The sequence below is a fragment of the Homo sapiens genome, chromosome 5 (assembly GCF_000001405.40).
Source record: "Homo sapiens chromosome 5, GRCh38.p14 Primary Assembly".
Classification (NCBI taxonomy): domain Eukaryota; kingdom Metazoa; phylum Chordata; class Mammalia; order Primates; family Hominidae; genus Homo; species Homo sapiens.
Genome location: NC_000005.10, coordinates 1,381,140 through 1,401,456, shown reverse-complemented (window position 1 = coordinate 1,401,456; position 20,317 = coordinate 1,381,140). Strand labels below are relative to the sequence as shown.

At 54.8% G+C, this 20,317-nt stretch overlaps 1 protein-coding gene across 1 annotated transcript in view, besides 2 other annotated features; it reads left to right on the top strand.

The window, feature by feature from the left end:
* Positions 1-8,663, top strand: part of SLC6A3 (solute carrier family 6 member 3) — a 52,647-nt gene extending 43,984 nt beyond the window's left edge. The window contains exons 14-15 of the mRNA NM_001044.5: positions 471-542; positions 6,699-8,663. Coding sequence (NP_001035.1) covers positions 471-542; positions 6,699-6,722 — 96 coding nt within the window. The 3' untranslated portion in view covers positions 6,723-8,663. The remainder of the gene's footprint in view (positions 1-470; positions 543-6,698) is intronic.
* Positions 14,764-15,332: an enhancer, noted in NCBI's record as "H3K27ac-H3K4me1 hESC enhancer chr5:1386240-1386808 (GRCh37/hg19 assembly coordinates)". NCBI's record gives its function as "activates a minimal SCP1, AML or CMV promoter by ChIP-STARR-seq in naive H9 embryonic stem cells {active_cell/tissue: H9 hESC(naive)}" and the evidence as "EXISTENCE:reporter gene assay evidence [ECO:0000049][PMID:30033119]".
* Positions 15,389-15,683: an enhancer, noted in NCBI's record as "tiled region #8068; K562 Activating DNase unmatched - State 4:PromP, and HepG2 Activating DNase unmatched - State 4:PromP". NCBI's record gives its function as "activates a minimal TATA promoter and a strong SV40 promoter by Sharpr-MPRA in K562 cells, with weaker activity in HepG2 cells {active_cell/tissue: K562 | HepG2}" and the evidence as "EXISTENCE:reporter gene assay evidence [ECO:0000049][PMID:27701403]".

Sequence of the window (20,317 nt, the reverse complement as noted above, 5' to 3'; positions counted from 1 at the left end):
AAGGAAGGCACGTTCAGCGTTCACTCTCCCAAGAGCTGCAGGTGACAAAAAGCAAGTGCTCCCGGAATATGTCAGCTGCAGGTGGCCCCGAGGCAGCCCACCTGGGTGTGGGCACTTTCTTACTCAGAGCCCAGCACACGTGGTAGCTTAGACTCAAGAGCCATCTCCAGGACCACGTTTTATTTTCAAGCGAGTGCTCAAATGCTGATGTTCTGCTCTGCGCTAGACTTTAAGGGGACCGTCAGGATGTTGGCTTCGGGCCTGACTGGCTGTCTGGTCGGCATGGGCACTGGCAGTGTAAGTCAGTGGTGGGCGCTGGTGATATGGATGCCAGCGGGTGGGCATTGGCAGGTGAGGAGGGCTGGTGGTGAGGGTGCTGGTAGGTGAGGGTCCTGGCAGTGTGAGTCAGTGGTGGGTGCTGGCAGTGGGTACTGGTCTGCACTGACCCCTGCACTCTCTTTCTCTTTCAGAAACTGGCCTACGCCATTGCACCCGAGAAGGACCGTGAGCTGGTGGACAGAGGGGAGGTGCGCCAGTTCACGGTGAGGTCGAGGTCCCTGCTGGGCCTCTCTCGGGGGAATTCAGAATGATCCCAAGCTCAGTGTTCTTAGCCCCCAGGGGGCTCCGAGGCTGGTGTAGATGGTGCTCATTTACTCAGCCAGCATGTGCTCTATGAGGACAGGCAGCCAGTGGTGGCAGGTGACAGTGGAGACGTGTGCCCGGGACGGGGGGCACATGACGCAGGGGCCCTGGGAGGTGCGGCTGCACAGACGCCTGAGGAAAGCATGGTCCCTGCAAAGACCTGGGCATGTCCCAGACCACGGGAGCAGTGCCCTGTGGGGCCAGCTGAGCCAGGTTAAGGACCAGCAAGGGACCACCACCCCCCGCCTCACGGGGGCACAAGGGACAGTGCCAGGAGGGGAGGCCTGGGCCTGGCCATGGGAAGCCACAGGGAGCCCTGGAGGGGCTGGGAGAGGCCTGGGAGCCTGGGGCTGGCTTCGAGTGAGAGGATGGTCACGCCAGGTGTTTCCTGCACCCTGGGAGCCATCCAGCTGTGTGCGAACATGTTCATGACATGCCGTGGAGCAGGTGCATTCCCGGGGGCACACAGTAAACACTTGACGTGTTTTTACTCCCACAACCCTAAGAGGCAGCCCAGCACTCTCTCTACACCAGGGTCCCTGAGACCCAGAGAGGCCCCGGAATGTGCCCAAGATCACAGAGCTGGCCAGCAGGAGAGGAGCCTGGGCTGTGCCCTGGGCCTGTGGCACTGTCCTCCTCCACCCCAGAGTGGCCTCAGCCCCGACCTGATTCCATACACTAATGTCAGCCTAATGCCGACAGCAGAGTCCAATGCACAGCAAAAGGGAGAGAAGGCCATAGTGTGGAGGGCACCGCGGCCCCACCTCGGACCTGCCTCTTCCCTCTGGCCACCTCTCTGTGGCTGGTTCTCGTAAACAGTCCTCCCAGCAGGGGTCTCATGAGCTCATGCCTGAGGAGCCCAGCATGGACCTGCACATGGGGCAGGAGCAAGGATACAGGCAGAGGGAGGGGGCTCTGCGTGCCTGGGAGGTGGGTGGTGACGTCAGGCAGAACAAGACGCTGAGCAGGGAACAGGCCGGGAGGCAGTGGGGAGAAGCCGCCTCTGAGCACACATCTGCACAGCTTGTTCCTCCTACCTGCAAGTCAGGTTCTGGTGTGGGCTCTGCCTCCCTCCGTTGGCACCCTTTCCTCTGTCCTCCCAGTGACTTGCCTGCTCCAAACACAGGAGGCGTGTCCAGGCATCCCATCCCATCCATCCAGAGGATGCCAGCCCCTCCCCACTGGGCCTCCGGTCCTGCTCCACCAGAGCCTCTCTCCTCTGAGAGTCCTATACCTGGGGGTCTTACACTTTGTACAGGATCTTGCTAGTCTTCTCAAATATCCAACTTTGACTTCATGTGAGATTCTTGCTGTGCTTCCTGTCACATTAATCTCAGCTCCTGTATTTATCATTTCTTCCTCTCTTTTTCTTGGATCTACTCTGTTGTAGTTTTGCTAACTTTTTAATTTGGACTTTAGGTTATTAATTTGCATCCTTCGTTCTTTTCTAATGTAAGCACTCAAGGCTATGAATTTCCCTCAAAATACTCCATGTGCTACATTCCGTATTTTTTTCATAGTATTTTTCTTTATCTTTTAGTTCTAAGTATATTTTAATTTCCATTGTGACTTTGTCAACTCATAACTTGCTTAAAAGTCTGCTTTTAAATTGCCAAATATATGGGGATGTTTTACTCATCTTTTTGTTTTTAATTTCCAAATTAATTTCATTGTTCTCAAACACATATGATACCTATTATTTAAAATGTATTGAGACTTCTTTAGGGCCTTATACCTGATCAACTTTGATAAACGTTGCACATCTTTTAGATGAATGTGCTATTCTCTAATTGTCAATACACAGTTCTGCTTCTGTCCATTTGAGTAGGGTTATATATTATGTTACCCACATTGTCTACACTTTGTCAACTTTAGGGGTGCTTGACCATGAGTAATTGAGAGATGCCTGTGGCATATTCTTCCTCGATAGTATATTTGTTTGCTGTTCCCCTCAGTTCTATCAGGTTTTGCTCTCTGTAGTCTGAGGCTGTTTTCTGAGGTTGATCCATGTCCAGAATGATCATCTCTTCCTGGTGACATGAACCCATCTTCACTCCCTAATGATGCTTTTGGTCTTAAAGTCTGACTTGTCTGGGACAAATATAGTTGCACCAAGGTGTCTTTTGAGTTTGCCTGAAATATCTTTTGCAATCTGTTAACTTTCAACTTTGCAGTAACCTTAAGATTTAAGTGTCTTTTGCAAACCCAGCATACACCTAGAATTTTTTACGCTGACAGTTGGACAGGTTAATCCATTTACATTTGTTGTGATTATTGATATATTTGAACTTGATTCTACTATCTTTCTATTCCATTTGTCCCATTTTTAGTGTTTTTCTCCTTTATTGCCTTTTTATAGATTGATTTTTCTTGGTTCACTCATTTTTATTATTCCGTTTATTTCTCTCTACTTGCTTAGAACTTACATACTTTATTCTTTTTTTTTTTTTTTTTGAGGTGGAGTCTTGCTCTGTCACCCAGGCTGGAGTGCAGTGGCATGATCTCTGCTCACTGCAACCTCCACCTCCCAGGTTCAAGCAATTGTCCTGCCTCAGCCTCTCAAGTGGCTGGGATTACAGGTGCCCAGCACCACACCTGGATAATTTTTGTGTTTTTAGTAGAGACAGGGTTTGACCATGTTGGCCAGGCTGGTCTCGAACTCCTGATCTCAAGTGATCTGCCCACCTCTGCCTCCCAGAGTGCTGGGATTACAGCCGTAAGCCACTGTGCCCGGACTTATTCTATTCCTTTAATAGCTACTCTTGAGGTTGTACCATACATATTTCACTTAAACTCTACAGAGAAACCATATTTTAACCCCATCCCATTATAAGGACTTAAATCTTCCTCCTACTGATGAACATGCTATGATTGTTCAAATCTATTTCTCTCTTTTTAACCCACAAATTAGACACTGTCATTGTTCTTGTTCCTGTTATTATTTTGTACGGACTCATCATGTTCCTTGGACTAATGTGCATGCTTGGTGTTTGTTGGTTCCCATACTTTTGTTATAGACTTCTTTTCTTCTAGGACCATTTTCTTGCTTTTCAAAAAGCATCCTTCAGACATTCCTTTGAGGAGGTCTCTTGCTAACCTCCCTCACTATTGGTGTGTGGGAACATCTTTATGCTGCTCTCATTCACGAAAGCACTGTTGTGGGCTCAGGGCTCTAGGCTGACAGGGACTATCTCTGCGTTTTGGAGGCAGCAGTGTTCCGTGGCTGTGCTGAGATGTGTGGCCTGTGAGCCTGCTCTGTGGTGGGCTCTGTCCTCACCCCTGCACTCGGCCGAGTTTCTTCTGCTTTCGGTGTCTCGGGTTCACTGCGGAGTGTCGGGACCTGGGTTTCTTTTTTGTTTGTTTGTTTGTTTGTTTGTTTGTTTTGAGACGGAGTCTCGCTCTGTAGCCCAGGCTGGAGTGCAGTGGCGCAATCTCGGCTCACTGCAAGCTCCGCCTCCCGGGTTCGCGCCATTCTCCTGCCTCAGCCTCCCGAGTAGCTGGGACTGCAGGCACCCACCACCGTTAATTTGGTTTCTTTTTATTTTTCCTCTCTGGATATGTTTTGTGGCCAGATCTGTGGATTCACAAATCTTGTCATTCTGTGAATTTTGCAGCCACACACTGAAAGATTGCCTTCTGCCTTTCTGTGTTTTCCATTATGAGGCTCTGGTGTGTCCACTTTGCCCCAGGTCCTCCAGGTCTCTTACCTCACTTAGATTTTGTTTTCATTTGAATCTTAGGTGCACAGTTGAGTAACGCATCTTATCATTAATCCACATGTGGCCATTTTTAAATTATTAATTTGTCACCGTAACAAACAGACCCTTGTGAGCCCACAGCAGGAAAACTAGGCACTGTGGAAACTGCCTGCCCCTCACCCATTCTGTATCTGCGTCTAGCTTGATCTTTCCCTTGCCCTTCTTACAATTTCATTTGTTGCATCTCTAGATATTTCTAGCTTCCTAAAAAGTGTATTATTTGGCTTCAGCATTTGGTGTAGCCCTAACCAACCCCTACTGAAGCAAGACCTTATGCACACCCCATGCAGATCCCCGAGAATCATGACATTCTCCTGGCTGGGGGAACAGGCACCGTGCCCAGCCCTGTGTGGGCATCAGAGGTGGTTCCCTCTGGTCCTGTCGGCGGATCTCTCCCCAGCCTCCTCATTCACAGCGGGATGTGCTCGTCTGAACCCTCAGCAGGGGTCCTGGGCCATTGTCCCGGGTCTTCTCTCTGTGTGGCCACCTCCTCTCTGGCGCTCTGGCCTGCAAACTGCAGCCACCTCCGTTTCCCTCGCTCTCCTTTCCAGCGTCTCAGCTCAGGGAGTCCACCAGGCTGCACCCTCCCTGTGCTGCAATCTAGAAACTCCCTCGAGGCAGCGAGCAGGGTGGCAGGGGGGCCTCCTTGTTGGCTTCCCTCAGGGACCACTGACCCTTACGGTCTGGTGTCCATGGTCTGGAAGGTCATCGGCACGTGTGTTTTGTTTATTTGGGGCTTGTTTCGGACAGTAGGGTAAATTCGATCCCTATTATTCCATCTAGGTCAGAAATGTTTGTATCCATAGCTACGTTTCACCTACCGTGACTGGTCCCTGACCGTCCGTCACGTGAACAAACCACAGCTCAGCTATGGACGCTCCGCATTCCACTGCCCTGCCCCTGGTCTGCAGCCCAGCCATTCTCTTTTCTACTTCATCTCTGGAAGCTGCGTGTGCTCTGCTGTTTCTTGTGAAATTCTCATCACTGTGATGTGCGTGTGTCACTTTTCTGAGAGTCCCCTATGTGGCCATCCTGTAATCTGTTGCAACAGCTCTGGTCCTTTGGGGTCAAATTGAGGTCTGGTTTCTGGGGACTCACTTAGAGTGGGCTGCTGTCTTCTGTTTCTAGTCTTTATTTTACATTTATGGCTTGATCTTAATCTGTGGGAATCTGGGAGCCCCCAAGCACACCTCCCTCCAGAGGGGACCTTCTGCTTCTGTCAGCGGGCAGGACAGAGAACTGCTTCACCCTGGGGGGAACAGGACTCACAGCTGAAGTCCCAAGCATGGCTTCTTCATCGCTGGCCTGAAGTGGGGCTGCCACCCAGAGCCTCTGCTCTAGGGCTCTGGCCGCTGGGCCACCCGTGGCTGTGGGTCCTGGCCGGGCTCCCTGACCCCAGCTTCCTTCACTGAGCCCCGAGCTGCACCTGGATGCTGCCTGTGCCGGCATCAGCTGTGGCTGCTCCAGGCCCCCGGTAGACCCCTGGCCTGCAGTGTGATCCCACCCTGGCTGAGGAGGTCCCTGCAGGCTCTTGGTGGAGTGGCCAGAGGAGCCTGTGGTGTGGCCAGTGGTAGCTTCAGTGGCTTTCCATGGCCGGCGTGGTTTTGTCAGAAGCAAGCCCCGCATGCCCCTGTTTGGAAATGTTTATGAAGCACACTTCTTGCCATTTAGTGCTATCGAGGGGCTTTGACGCTCACAAACAGGCTGAACTAACAGCTGCATAATAGCAGGCGATGACATTTGCTGGTGGTGTAAATAGCTGCTCTTGTCTATCTCATCAGTCCCTGAGCAGTCAGTACACGCTGCACTTGCGCCCGCGCGGGTCGCAGAGAGCAAGATGGAGCTGCAGAGGTAGCGTGTCACTCAGATGGAGCATCTGAGGCCCCCAGGAAGGTGGAGGGACGTGGGGGAGAGGTGACATCACCACGTCACACCCAAGTCGCTGGGGTACAATCTGGAACCAGCCCCGGACTGAGGGTGCCCGGCATCTCTCAGACTCAGCATCTGATCAATACGCCCCAGAGGCCACCATGGCCACCACGCCAACCACAGTCTCGCGGCTTTTTAAAAAATCAAGTAATGATTGATTTGTAGGAGTTTGAGTGAGGCATCGGATCCCCGGCACCTGTCAAGGGTGTGTTGGTCCAGGCCCCCAGTGAGCCTCCCCTTCTCCCAGGGCACATGGCCAGGAGGCTGCAAACTGTCTGCTCACTGCCTTCAGCTGCTCTTAGCCACCTTCAGCTGCTCTTAAATGGGGCATCGCCCCAGGGTTTCTGACTAAACCTGTTTTCTTTCCAGCTCCGCCACTGGCTCAAGGTGTAGAGGGAGCAGAGACGAAGACCCCAGGAAGTCATCCTGCAATGGGAGAGACACGAACAAACCAAGGAAATCTAAGTTTCGAGAGAAAGGAGGGCAACTTCTACTCTTCAACCTCTACTGAAAACACAAACAACAAAGCAGAAGACTCCTCTCTTCTGACTGTTTACACCTTTCCGTGCCGGGAGCGCACCTCGCCGTGTCTTGTGTTGCTGTAATAACGACGTAGATCTGTGCAGCGAGGTCCACCCCGTTGTTGTCCCTGCAGGGCAGAAAAACGTCTAACTTCATGCTGTCTGTGTGAGGCTCCCTCCCTCCCTGCTCCCTGCTCCCGGCTCTGAGGCTGCCCCAGGGGCACTGTGTTCTCAGGCGGGGATCACGATCCTTGTAGACGCACCTGCTGAGAATCCCCGTGCTCACAGTAGCTTCCTAGACCATTTACTTTGCCCATATTAAAAAGCCAAGTGTCCTGCTTGGTTTAGCTGTGCAGAAGGTGAAATGGAGGAAACCACAAATTCATGCAAAGTCCTTTCCCGATGCGTGGCTCCCAGCAGAGGCCGTAAATTGAGCGTTCAGTTGACACATTGCACACACAGTCTGTTCAGAGGCATTGGAGGATGGGGGTCCTGGTATGTCTCACCAGGAAATTCTGTTTATGTTCTTGCAGCAGAGAGAAATAAAACTCCTTGAAACCAGCTCAGGCTACTGCCACTCAGGCAGCCTGTGGGTCCTTGCGGTGTAGGGAACGGCCTGAGAGGAGCGTGTCCTATCCCCGGACGCATGCAGGGCCCCCACAGGAGCGTGTCCTATCCCCGGACGCATGCAGGGCCCCCACAGGAGCATGTCCTATCCCTGGACGCATGCAGGGCCCCCACAGGAGCGTGTACTACCCCAGAACGCATGCAGGGCCCCCACAGGAGCGTGTACTACCCCAGGACGCATGCAGGGCCCCCACTGGAGCGTGTACTACCCCAGGACGCATGCAGGGCCCCCACAGGAGCGTGTCCTATCCCCGGACCGGACGCATGCAGGGCCCCCACAGGAGCGTGTACTACCCCAGGACGCATGCAGGGCCCCCACAGGAGCGTGTACTACCCCAGGATGCATGCAGGGCCCCCACAGGAGCGTGTACTACCCCAGGACGCATGCAGGGCCCCCATGCAGGCAGCCTGCAGACCACACTCTGCCTGGCCTTGAGCCGTGACCTCCAGGAAGGGACCCCACTGGAATTTTATTTCTCTCAGGTGCGTGCCACATCAATAACAACAGTTTTTATGTTTGCGAATGGCTTTTTAAAATCATATTTACCTGTGAATCAAAACAAATTCAAGAATGCAGTATCCGCGAGCCTGCTTGCTGATATTGCAGTTTTTGTTTACAAGAATAATTAGCAATACTGAGTGAAGGATGTTGGCCAAAAGCTGCTTTCCATGGCACACTGCCCTCTGCCACTGACAGGAAAGTGGATGCCATAGTTTGAATTCATGCCTCAAGTCGGTGGGCCTGCCTACGTGCTGCCCGAGGGCAGGGGCCGTGCAGGGCCAGTCATGGCTGTCCCCTGCAAGTGGACGTGGGCTCCAGGGACTGGAGTGTAATGCTCGGTGGGAGCCGTCAGCCTGTGAACTGCCAGGCAGCTGCAGTTAGCACAGAGGATGGCTTCCCCATTGCCTTCTGGGGAGGGACACAGAGGACGGCTTCCCCATCGCCTTCTGGCCGCTGCAGTCAGCACAGAGAGCGGCTTCCCCATTGCCTTCTGGGGAGGGACACAGAGGACAGCTTCCCCATCGCCTTCTGGCTGCTGCAGTCAGCACAGAGAGCGGCTTCCCCATCGCCTTCTGGGGAGGGGCTCCGTGTAGCAACCCAGGTGTTGTCCGTGTCTGTTGACCAATCTCTATTCAGCATCGTGTGGGTCCCTAAGCACAATAAAAGACATCCACAATGGAAAAACTGCCTCAGCCTCCTTGTCTCGTTTCCGCTGGGCCCCATCCATTTACACAGGCCCAGCTCACCTGCTCACACCCCGAGGTCAGCTTCTGCCCCACCCCAGCCCACCCACAGCAAAGCTTCCTCACCTGATGCCTCTTGGCCCATCTCTCCTTCCGGCCTCCCCTAAAGCCTAGACGTTAGAGATAACACATCCACTACGCTCCCATGCAGGTGTGCTGGGTGTGACCTGTCGCCCTCCCCAGGCTCCCACGCAGGTGTGCTGGGTGTGACCTGTCCCCCCTCCCCAGGCTCCCACGCAGGTGTGCTGGGTGTGACCTGTCCCCCTCCCCAGGCTCCCACGCAGGTGTGCTGGGTGTGATCTGTTTCCCCTTCCCTGGGCTCCCACACAGTGTTGGGTGCAGTGGTGACCCTCACCCACGTCTGCACTCCTGCAGGGTCCCCTGTGGCAGGTTGTGGCACCTTATGTCGTGCCCACTTGCTCAGGCTGGACCTCCGTGCCATCCTGCACCGCTCTCCCCCAGCCCCTCACCTGCCTTTCAGCATTCTTGTGGGCTCCCCACATGTCCAGACTCCAACCACACTGCCTGACCACTGCCACTGCCCAACCCAAGAGCCTCTTCCAAGCCCCATCCCAGATCTTGGTGGGTCCTGGTCCTCAGTCCAAGCATCTTTCGTCGCTCTGTGGCCTAAAGGATTCTTCTAGATACCAACAGATCAGGCCACAGCCCAAGGAAACCCCAGGGTTATCCTGGTGCTTGGAGTAAATGCCAATGCCCTCAGCATGACCTGTGATAGGATGGCAGCACCCCTTCCAGGCAGTGACCTGTGATAAGACAAGCGTCACTCCCGCCAGCCCCACCTGCAGCCCTGCCCCGAACTGCCTGAGGGCACACCCCACACCGAGGGCTTTGTGCCTGGCAGCACATGGGGACACTGCTACTGCTGCATCGTAGCACGTGGCTGCGTGTGGACAGGAAGGACGCTCGCACCTTTCAGCTGGGTCAGTGAACTCTGTGGCAGGAAAAGTGCTGGGCTGCCTACAAGGGCTGAACCTGCCTGCAGCCTAACTAGTGCCTCCCACCGTCCCCATCGTCACATAGGATGTCCCTTACCCTCAGGGGTGGCTACACCCCGCCTGCTACAGGTGCCGCCCTAACAGCTCACACCTGGAGCCCCCAGGTGTGATCCCTGCTGACCACTCAGGTCTGGGGTCCAGGCAGATACTGTGTGGGTGGCCATAAGTCACTATGTGGGCTGAGACTTGAAGGACTCCGACAGCCTCATGGGCGACTGTATTAAGCCCCAGCAATCGGAGAGGTGGGCTCCGGGGCTGGGTGGGTCTCCTCTGCCAGGTGGGTCTCCTCTGCCTGTGGTCCCAGCAGCTCGGCAGCAGGGGCCGGCCCAGATGGCCGTTGGTCACAGAGACAGCTGGGCTTTGCTGAGTGCGTCGTGGTCCAGCCTAGGCCCATGCCACTGAAGCCTTTCTCAGAGGTGTGGGGTCTGCAGGGACCGGTCACATGTGAGCCCAGGATCAGGGCATTGGGGGAAGAACCAGCTGAGGACATTCCCCAGCCCCAAAACAAAGGCACGGCAGTCCTCGAGCAGGGAGGAGTGAGGAGCCACATGTGGGATCCCGCCTCTCTGGCGTGTGAGCTGTGGATGGCATCTGGTACCAGCCCCATGCCCGCTGGCCGCTGGCGAGCTTGCAGGCTCTGCAGGCAACCGGAACAGCATACTGCAGGTGCACACGGGGTCCTCGTGCCGAGTGATTTACTCAGGGAGTGCCTGAGGGAGCAGGTGAGGGAGGGGCACTTACACCCTGAATGTAGAAGGAACTCCACAAGTCCATAGGGAAGAGGCAGACACCCCATCAGAAAAGTGGACAGAGACCTTGAATGACTGCCAGCAAGGGAAAGTGCCCAAGTGGCCAACAAACCTATGAAAAGAGGCCCAACCTCACCAGTTGTCATGGAAATGCAGTCAGCCACCACGTAATGTGGCAGCACACCCATCACAGCAGCTGGGCTTTGGAAAGTCTGAGCCCCTGTGTGGCTGCGTGTGGACAGGAAGGACACTCGCAGCTTTCAGGTGGGTGAGTGAACTCCATGGCAGGAAAACGACAAGGGCTGAACCTGCCTGCAGCCTTACTGCTGCTCCTACCCTCCCCATTGTCACATAGGATGCCCCTTACCCTTGGGGGTGGCCACCACCCCCGCTGCAGTTGCCGCCCTAACAGCTCACACCTGGAGCCCCCAGGGCCTGCCTTGGGCAGCTGGGCCCTCGTCCAGGGGCCCCTGGGATTGAAGCCTGTGCCAGGGTGGCCCAGGGCCAGACCCTGACCACCTTGAGGTCAAAGCCCCCATCCTGACCTGCAGTCTGATATATGTCCAGAGTCCCCGTTAGGACCACTGGACCCCACCTGAAACCATGTCTGCTCCGGCCTCTCCCTTCCCTTGGCCTGTTTCCCGCTCTCTCCTGGTTTTCTCCTGTGAGTCCCAGTGATTCAGGAGCACAACAATCTCCACTCAAGAGTCTGCAGGATTCCAGCCTAAGGGAGACAATCACAAGCCCCACAGTTCTCTCTGTGTGCCTGACAGAGACACATGGAGAGGCGTGTGCAGTGGCCATAAAAGCCGAGACTGGGAGCAGCAGAAAGGCCAGCACTGAGTGGACGCTCACGGCAGGAAGGGCCCGTGAGCTGCGGCACTGGCTGGTGGGGCGGTGGGAAAGGTCGAACTGTATCCCCTGAGAAGGCTGAAGTCCTGACTCCTTATGTGAAAATAAGGTTGTTGCAGATGCGATTAGATAAGACGAGGTCATACCTGAGTAGGGTGGGCCCTAAATCCAATATGACAGGGACTCTATAAGAGGAGAGGAGAGACACTGAGACCCTGAATCCAACACCACTGGTGTCCTGGGAAGGGGAAAAGAGACACAGTGAAACAGAGACCAGGACAGGACCTCTGTGTGACTACGGAGGCAGACATCAAGAGATGCACCTGCAAACCAAGACTCACAGAGGGCTGCCAGCCATCACCAGGGGCTGGAGACACACACATGGAACAGATGCTGCCCCAGAGCCTCCAGCAGGAACCAACCCTGGCAACACTGTGACTTCAAACTTCTGGCCTCCAGAGCGGTGAGACCATAAACTTCTGTTGTTTCAAGTGCCCCGTTTGTGGTGGGCGTCCCCAGGGCATTAGAGAAAGCAGGTCCATCCTGCCTGGGCCTTTGGGTACCTGAGACATTCCCGGCCCTTGGGATGCCTTCCCAGGCTTCACTCTCCTTCCCATCCTGTACTTCCTCTTGTTCCCTCATCTGGAACTACCTTCTTTCTGTTCTCACCATGAACTTTCCAACCTTAACCCACTAGCTCCTATGCCATGTCAGCTTCCCATAGACATCACCACTGAAAGTCTGTTCCCACTCCAGCTTCTGGGTTCTGGCCCTTGGCCAGTGTTCCTTGAAACCCCCATTCTCCCCAGGTCTTCCCTAGCAGGTGTTCTGTTGAAGGCAGATGGCCCATTGTCTCTTGTCCCAGCAGGAACTGAGTTAGTCTCACTCGCTTCTGCCAGTGTTTTGAACAGGCCTGGTACATGGAAGGCAGTGGCATTTAATATGTTTACAGATGGATGAATGAATGGGTGGGTGAAGGGGCGGGTGGATGGATAAATGGGTGGATAGATAAGGGATGAATGGATAGATGGAAGGCTGGATGGATGGACAGAAGAAGGGAGGGATGGATGAAAGGAGAGAGAGAAAAGGGTGAGAGAGAGAGAAAGGGATAAATAGATTGATGAATGCACAGGTGGGTTAATGGATGAGTGGTGGATGGTTGGATGAATAAATGGATGAGTGGATAGTTGGATAGATGGATGAGTAAATGAATGGATGTATTGATGGACAAAAGAAAGAAGAAAGGGAGATAGGGAGGGAGGGTGAGAGGGAAAGGGGGTGTGTAGATGGCTGGGTGGATGGATGGTTGATTACGGTTGGGTGGATGGATATATGGATAGTTAGATGGATGGGCAGGCAGATGATGGCTGGATGAATAGATGCATGGATGGGTGGATAGATGAATGGGTAGGTGAGTGGATGGGTTGATGATGGATGGATGGATAGACGGGTGGGTGGGTATGTGATGGATGGATGAATGAATAGGTGGTGTGTGGGTGGATGGGTTGATGTGGGGAGTGAGTAGGTTATGGATGGATGGATGGATGGACAAGTGGATTTGTGGATGGATGAATGGATGGATGGATGGATGGGTAGATGGGTGAATGGATGTGTGGGTAGGTTATGGACGGTTGGAGGGATGGATAGATAGATGGATGAACGGATGAATGGATGGATAGATGGATGCATGGATGGATGGATGCTTGGGTGGATGGACAGATGGATGTGTGGATGGATGGATGCATGGAAGCATGGGTGGATGGATAGATGGATGGAGGAATGGATGAGTGGATGGGTAGGTGGAGGGATAGATAGATGTGCAGATGGATGGGTGGAAGGTCCTGGATGACATGTACAAGTCTGCCATTCTGGTCCAATCTCAAATTCCCCTACAGGGCTGACTGTGTGGATGCTGTATTTAGTACTTGCTCTCCAAGGAGGGTTGGGCTGTTTAATACAAATGAAATGTTAATTTCAAAATGTCTGAAGAAGTCTTTTCTTCTGACACTGTTTGTGCAGAACCCAAGCTCCCTGGGAGGGATGAGCCCGCAGAGCCCGCTTTGGTGCTGGACTCCCTGGGAGGGATAAGCCCTCAGAGCCCGCTTTGGTGCTGGATGGGAGGCTCACCCCTCCGCACCCTGCCCTTTACCATGGGATTTGTGCTGTTCGTCAAGTGACCTTTAGACACATGGCCTGGGTTTTTGAAGCCTGAAAAAACTATACAATTTTTCCTTTGAGAGAAGCATTTTAATAAAGGTTCGGCAACAGCGAAATACGTGGCTGAAAGGGTAAACGGATTCCTCTATGTTTGGCTTTTTTTGGTTTTCACTCCACAATCCTCCTTTAATCTCTGTAGATTCATTTGACTGGCCCAAAGGTCACAGCCTCTACCTGTTTCCTGAAGTCTGACAACAGAAAAAAAGCCACCTTTTTTGAAACACAATTCATCAGCAAATCCTACATTCCCTGGCGCCTCGCCTGCTCTCCTTCTCCTGAGGATGCACCAGATCACAAACACAGCTGGCCCTGGCGCCACAGCCAGGACCCATGATTCAGCAGGACAGAGCCAAGGATACTCATGCCCTACTGACAGATGGGTGTCCCACAAACCAACTGCCACTGTGCCGGTGCCTGACTTGGGGAGCTGGGGGAAAGCAGAAATGGAACCGACGGTCACACCCTGGCCTCCTCCTCCCCTCACCCCAGCCTGTCACTTAAGTGAACCAGGGCCATGGGGAGCTAGGTGTGGCCTGACCTGCAGCCCCCAGCTGCTCTCTGCAGCCAAGAGTGAGAACCGCGGCACCAGCCATGACCCACAGCTGTCAGCATCCCCACAGAGGATGGGAACCTCCGAGAACCACCCTCCTGGCAGAGAGGGCCAAGGGCGGTTCTGTGAGACCTGTGTCTCAGGTGTGTGTGTGAGAGAGAGGCAGGCAGACAGACAGACAGAAGGGCAAGGGCGGTTCTGTGAGACCTGTGTCTCAGATGTGTGTGGGAGAGAGGCAGGCAGACATTCAGACAGGGAGAGGAGGAGAGAGACAGAAAGAGACTCAGCAAAGCAGAGAGAACTTAGATCAGGGTCAAAGACTTCTGACGGCCCTCCCCTAGTCAGGGTGGTCGGCCATCCCGGTCTGCCCCGGACTGAGGGGTTTCCTGGATTCAGGATTTCTGGGGACCAGTGGTCGCCCCTGTCCTTAGTACTGGCCAGCCCTGCTCTGCTGAGTTGGGGAGAGCAGCCCCAGGCAAGGAGGTCTGAGGAAGGGGTATGGAGCGCGAGATGGGGGTGGCAGAGGGGAGATCACAGGAGAGCAGGTGGGGCAGGCTCAGACCAGCTCCCCATGTGTCGGGGTGCAGGAGGGGCAGCAGTGGCCGTGCACAGCGGGAGGGCGGTGTTTGGGGTGGACTGAAGGTGCCGAGCTCCAGCCCCGCTGTGTGGGACGCACTCAGCCTTTAAGGTGCTGCACCTGCACTTGCGCAGCAAGGAGCGAGCGTCACAGAAGCCAGTGCAGCCGGCCAGGGAGGACAGGGCAGAAAGCCACGAGGACAGGACCTGCGGGCAGCTGGCGGAGCCAGGCCAGACCAGACGCTGCCGGCTTTGAAGAGCGGCTCGGCCGCGGCCACGCGCGCCCGGCGTCAACGGGGCGTCTGACGTTTTCCTTTGTTTTCTTTTGTTCGAGAAGCCGGAAGTTTAGACTTTTACATTTGGGTAAAACGCTCCAGTGTTTGGGTGTCGGTGGCTGCGTCGCTGCGTCAGTCAGTCACTCGGTGGCAACAGCAGCAGCAGAGGCGCCCACCTGGCTGAGCAGAGAGACACGGTACTCACGGCGGGTGTGGGGGGCACAAGGCGCTCACAGAGGCCCCAGAGAACCGGCTCAGAGGCCAGCAGGGCAGAAGGGGGAGTCAGCCGGGTGAGCAGCTCTGCGCCCCGCCGGCCCCCACACCGACCACAGCAGAGGAGACCGGCGGCCTCACTCCCCGCGCCGGCCCCAGAGCCCCGCCCGTGCAGGTGCAGTAGGGCCCGGGGCACAGGCGCGGGGGAGCCGGCAGGGATGGCTGCGCCCAGCCAACGGCAGCAGGACCACGAACACCCCACTGCACCCCGTTCCATGAGGGCAGCTTCCTGTGAGCCAGACACGGCCCTGTCCAAGGGATCCTACCGCCCCGGCCCAGGCCACGCCCCAAGGAACGCCCTGTGGGTGGTGCTGAGCGGCACAGTCCCCAGGCCCCGCGGCCGGCCCTGCATTCGCTCTCTCGTGCCTTCCCTGGGGGAAACGCCCAGCCTGGCAGCACAGAACCTTTAGTTACACAGGCCTGAGTTTGAGGTCCGGGGAATGGGAAAGTGAAACGTGATCGCTGAACCTGCGTCTCCCATGTTCACACTATGTCCAGCAGTGAAAGTCCATCGAGCCTCCGACCCAAGCAACAGGCATTCTTCTACCCTTCCCCTGGCTGGCCTCCCTTCCCACCTCACAACGCTCACATGAATAAAGCGTGTCCCTCATGCCACTAGAAGAGCTCAGCCTGGGCCACAGCCCCCTCTTGGTGGCCCTGGAGAGGCCTCCTCTCCAAGAACACCAGCCCACCATGGTCCTCTGAGGACGCAGGGCCAGACACCAAGCGGGCAGGTGGCACGGAAAGAAAATATCGCAAGCTCTGTTCGCCTAAAAATATCGCTCTTCTAAGGTGAATGCAGAAGAATTTTCATGTATATGACTGACCTTCACAAATCCAGCCAGCATTAGCCCATCAAGCACTGAACACATTTATCTAGAATTTAAACAATTTTACTTATTCTGCAAGCTGAGATCCTCTTTACTTAAAACTGTTTGTCATATAGATGAAGGGACCCGTCAGACAGAACATTTTATTTGGTTAAAAATTGGATGGCATACATATTTACACAGTATTAGTGGGACAGAAATGACCGTTTTGAAGTATGCCCTCAGCCATGGCTGCTGGCCATGGGCTCCAGCCGGCCACGCCCTGCAGGTCCCCATCGTTAAGCTCATCCTGGTTCAGAATCAAAGGTTAATATTTAAGTGGCTTTTCAATTTGTGTATTCAAAGATAGTATTATGACCTGTAAGCTACAGAAACATTCTCATATCCTTTAAGCCTTGTTCACACAGAGAAACTGTATCTAAAATTCTAAAAAGTTCTATTAATCACAATGGTAATTTTTAAAGCTTAGAAAGAAGAGGAAAAGACATCACCTGTAGGTCTGTTACCCAGAAACGGCCAACACCCCACCGGTGCCCTGAGTTCATCCCGTGCCCATGCCGAGGCCTGGTTTGCTCCGGGTCCTGTCGCCAGGACACTGGACACTGCAGCTGGGCAGCTGCAGACCCTCCCTGTACTTTCTCCACCCAGGGTCGGGCATCGGGGTTGTGGAGGGACAGGCAGATGGGAGAGGGCAGGGGTGAGACTCAGGGCTGGGCCCTGGGTTAGAATCTCTGGCTCCCTCACTTTTTGGCAAGGGTCCAGGCACCTGTGCCTCAGTTTACTCATCTGTGCAGAGAGCAGTCATCGCGCCCAGCACAGAAGGCTGTTGAAAGGATTGGACAAGTTAAATGATGGAAATGGCTCAGATGTTTATGCACCAGTGCCACAGATGTCCCAGATCCATGTAACTATCAGTCTAATGCTACCGTTACCACTCTTAAAAGTATTTCAGATAATGAAATAAAACAGACTTTCCAGATTCTGACATGATGTAAAAAGGCATCCGTAGGGATCACTGACCTGAGGTTTCTGGAGATGAGCCTGGCCCTGCCATGACACAGGTGGGGTCATGATGCAGAGGACAGCCACCTGCAGCTGCCACCACCTGACAGGATACAGGACAGTCACCCCCACCTGTCACCACCACGGAGGACAGAGGGGACAGCCACCCCCACCTGTCACCACTTGAGAGGACACAGGACAGCCACCCCCACCTGTCACCACCTGACAGGACACAGAGGGCTTCTGGGAACCACTTGTGTTGTCTGTGTGTCCAAAGGGCGTGAAAGGACAGCCCAGTGACTGTTGCCTGCACAGAAATGATGCCCTTGAGACCGGAGGCCCAGGACACCTGCCCCTGATGGGCTCAGCGCTGATGGGCTCAGCGCTGATGGGCTCAGCGCTGGGCTTGAGAGCAGGAGTGTGTCCTGCTTCTGCATGTGTGTTCTGAGCAGAGTCCCTTTCCTGCGTGGCTGCCAGGACACTCAAAGCCACTGCTGAGCTCAGGTTCAGTGATGGAGTGGAGCTGTCGTTTCCTCCTGTGTGGTAGCCATACTCCCAAGGCCCCCCACCTCCTGTTGGTGACACCCTTGTTTGGTGTCCCGGCGATAACCATATTCTAACCCACAGAACACAGCAAAGTGGAGTGGAGGAATGTGATTGTGTTACACAGGATTGCAATGCCCATTTCTTTGGAACCTGGCCCTCCCCTGTGGCTTTGAGGAAGCACATGGCTGGGCCGGGGAGCCCCAGGTGACACGAACAGCAGGTGGCCTCTGGAAGCTCACGCAGCCTCTGACCAGCAAGGAAGTGAAGTCCCGAGTCCACAGCAGCAGGGCCCGGGATCCTGCCAATATCCCAAGGAGCAGAACCCAGGTGGACCCTGGCCCACGGGAGCCTTGAGTGAGACGGTAGCGGTCTGACGTCCGCGCTGCACTGGTGAGGCCTGAGCAGGGGACCCCGGAAACCCGGAGGGAGATGTGGACTCTGTTCAGCCGTTTGGCTCATGGCTGGCATTGCCATACGCGGGAGGCACTCGCTTCTCTGCCATTTTTATTTTGTATTTTCTTGTTAGCAGCCCTGGGAGGGGCCTGGCACAAAATATGCCTCAAACACTGTGGAGAGAATGAAGGAGGGTGAGCAGGGGGTTGGGGGGGGGTGCTCAGGAACCCCTGGGGAAATGAGGTGTGGTATGTAAAAGCAAACATTTATTATTTGTAATAAAAACATTCACTGTTTTCTGTGTGTGTTTATTTGTTTGTTTTGAGACAGAGTCTCACCCCATCGCCCAGGCTACAGTGCAATGTCGCCATCTTGGCTCACTACAACCTCCTGGGATCAAGCGATTCTCCTGCCTCAGCCTCCCGAGTAGCTGGGATTACAGGCGCCCGCCACCACACCCAGCTAATTTTTGTATTTTTATTTGTTTTTCTTTTTTGTTTTTGAGATGGAGTCTCACTCTGTTGCCCAAGCTGGAGTGCAGTGGCGCCATCTTGGCTCACCGCAACCTCCACCTCCCAGGTTCAAGCAATTCTTCTGCCTCAGCCTCCCGAGTAGCTTTGTATTTTTAATAGAGAGAGGGTTTCACCATGTTGGCCCGGCTGGTCTCAAACTCCTGACCTCAAGTGATCTGCCCGCCTCAGCCTCCCAAAGTGCTGGGATTACAGGTGAGCCACTGCGCCCAGCCAAGACTCACTATGACATGGAACTTCTTCCATTTGTTTTCGCGTTTTGGGCTCTGAAATACTTACTGGTAGTGCGTGATCACCGCAGTGCCTTCCCTAAACGGGGAGCCGTGCCCACGACACAGGTCCCCCAACACACCAATGTGCCCCCACCCCTCCAGCCTCAACAGGCTTTCCCAGGCCTCTGCATGACCGGGGTGCTGGAGGTACATCCTGGGAGGTCCTTACCCAGGGACTGAGGTGTGAACGCATGAAAACGCAGCCTCCCTGCCTTGCACGGGCAGCTCAGAGCCATAACTCGTCCCCCAGAGCACCTCTCGGCCCGTCGCCACCCACGGGGCACTTCCTGAGAGCAGAGCCTGCTCTGCCACCTCCCTCTGAGGCCTCCCTGCTACTGTCGGAGACCACCACCCTCCCAGGCCTCCCTGCTACTGTCGGAGACCACCACCCTCCCAGGCCTCCCTGCTACTGTCGGAGACCACCACCCTCCCAGGCCTCCCTGCTACTCTCGGAGACCACCATCCTCCCAGGCCTCCCGGCTACTCTTGGAGACCACCTCCCTCCGAGGCCTCCCTTCTACTCTCAGAGACCGCTTCCCTCATTAGCTCTGCGGAAGCAAGCCCTCTTCCCGGGACCACGGTGGCTGCAGTACGGGTAAGTGGGTGCCGCACTGGCTTTTTCTGGAACCACACGATCAAGAGGGTTTGGCTACCGAAATGCCTAGAAAGCTTCAGGACCAGGCGCTCTCCTGAAAAGCTATTTGGTCAAGTGAGTGGTTTAGGTGGGCATGCGTGTATATGTGGGCGTGTGTGGGTGTGTGTCCATGAAAGTGGCCATGTCTGTGTGCGTGTGTGCATGTAAGAGTGCCTGAGTGGGTGAGTGTTGACCATGTGCATACGTGGGTGTGTGCAGGTATGTACGGTGTGTGCACATGTGGGTGTGGGCATGCATGTGTATGGGTGTGTGCACAGGTGTGTGGGTGTGCGTGTGGGGGTGTGCATGCAGGTATGATGTGTGTGCACAGGTGAGTGTGCAAGCGTGTGCAGGTATGCATGGGTGTGAGGTGTGCACGTGTGTGTGGGTATGTGCCTGTGTGTGGATGTGCATGGGTGTGTGCCGGCATGCATGGGTGTGGGGTGTGCACAGACAGGTGTGTGCATGGGTGTGCATGTGTATGGGCACGTGCACGTGTGTGGGTGTCCATGTAGGGGTGAGCATGTGTGTATGGATGTACGTGTGCACAGGTGGGTGTGCAAGTGTGTGTGGGTGTGCACAGTGCAGGGGTGTGTGGGTGTAGGTGTGCACATGCCTGATGGTGGACAGGAACCTCAGGTTCCTTCCTACTGCTCTTTCTGGCCCCACTAGTGGATCCGGAGTAGAAACCAGCCAGAGAGAAGCGCACAGGGGAAGCACAGCCATCACTTAGCAAAATCACTTAGTGAAATCTGGGGGAAAATGAGAGTGGGCTGAAGGCAAAATCAGTGTGCTCTTTCAGCTGGAGAACATAGCAATCAGGGGAATAGGGGCATGGAACAGCCCAGAAACTGGATACACAGAGCTGCGCAGCCGTCAT